Raw genomic sequence first — 1,514 nt, 5'->3', positions numbered from 1 at the left:
TCTCATGAATGTTTAGGAAGTGAGATGAGGGCACCTGGGGCTGCAGGGACCAGATTCTCCAGATGAATCTGCTGCCTCTGAGTAAACCAACAACTAGAACCTTACAGCTGTGGAGCTGGGGGCTGCTCAGAGCAACCTTGAGCCTGCAGCTGCCCTGGGCTGCCTGGAGGGTGAGGAGCCTACAGGGCTGGGCTCTGGGGAGATGGACCTTGGCCACCAGCTACCCAACAAGTGCAGCAAGATTCCCCTGGCAGGTGGGGCCAGGTGAGCAGCTTCACTCCTGCTTGTCTGGGTTGGGGCTCCTTGAAAAAAGTTTGTGGGAGCCTGGCTAGCCCTAATAACAGCAACACATATAAAAACAATAAGAGCTCTCCTGACATCAGCATAGCCATCATAATGCACCCCAAATCTAAAAGCTGCCATCATCTCTATGGCTACCACCTTCATCCCAGGTGCCATATCTCACCTGGATCGTCACCACAGACTCTCCACTGGCTTCCCTGCTTCCACCCTGGGCCCCTCCAGTCCATTCTCCAGGTAGCAGCCAGAGGAATCCTGTTAAAACAGAAGTCAGGTCATGTGGCTCTTTTGAAGGAAATCCTCCAAAGGCCTCCATCTCACAGCTGAAGCCAAAATCCCTACATGATAATCTGCTTCCCTCCTGGGGTGGTGGGGGGCCACCTCCCATTTACCTTCCTCTCTGACCTTGTTTTCCATCATTCAAGATCATTCCTCTCTGGCCACCTCAGCCTCTGGGCTTTCCCTGGGGCATAACTGTCTGTGAACATTTATGCCCCAGGACCTTTGCACCAGCTGTTCATTTTGCCTGGAATGCTCTTCCCCCAAATATTTGCCTGGTTCCTCTATTACCTCCCTTGGGTCTTTGCTCAAATGTCACCTTCTTATTGAGGCCTTCCCTGACCTACCGCCTTATTTAAAATTGCATCCCCTGAATCTACTCTTCTTGGCCTGCTCCCGTGCTTTTTCTCCATAGGACACATCACCACCTGATATGGTTTGGGTGTGTCCCCACCCAAATCTCATCGTGAACTGTAGCTCCCATAATTTCCATGTGTCATGGGAGGGACCCAGTAGGAGGTAACTGAATCATGGAGGTTGGTCTTTCCTGTGCTGTTCTCATGATGGTGATAAGTCTCATGAGATCTGATGGTTTTATAAAGGGGAGTTCCCCTACACAAGATGTCTTGCCTGCGCCATGTAAGACGTGACTTTTCTCCTCATTCACCTTCTGCCATGATTGTGAGGCCTCCTCAGCCATGTGGAACTGTGAGCCAATTAAACCTCTTTTCTTTATAAATTACCCAGTCTCAGGTATGTCTTTATTAACAGCATGAGAACAGACTAATACACCATCTAATATACTATGTATGTATTTTACTTATTTAGGAGTCTGATCCTTCCCTTAGGTTGTGTGCTCCCTGAGGGCAGGGACCTTGTCCTTTTCATCACTGTTGAGATTCTAGCACTGTAAACACTGTCTGGTGCATAATAGG

This window comes from Homo sapiens, chromosome 20, assembly GCF_000001405.40.
Source record: "Homo sapiens chromosome 20, GRCh38.p14 Primary Assembly".
Lineage (NCBI taxonomy): Eukaryota > Metazoa > Chordata > Mammalia > Primates > Hominidae > Homo > Homo sapiens.
Note: the sequence above shows the minus strand (reverse complement) of the source record.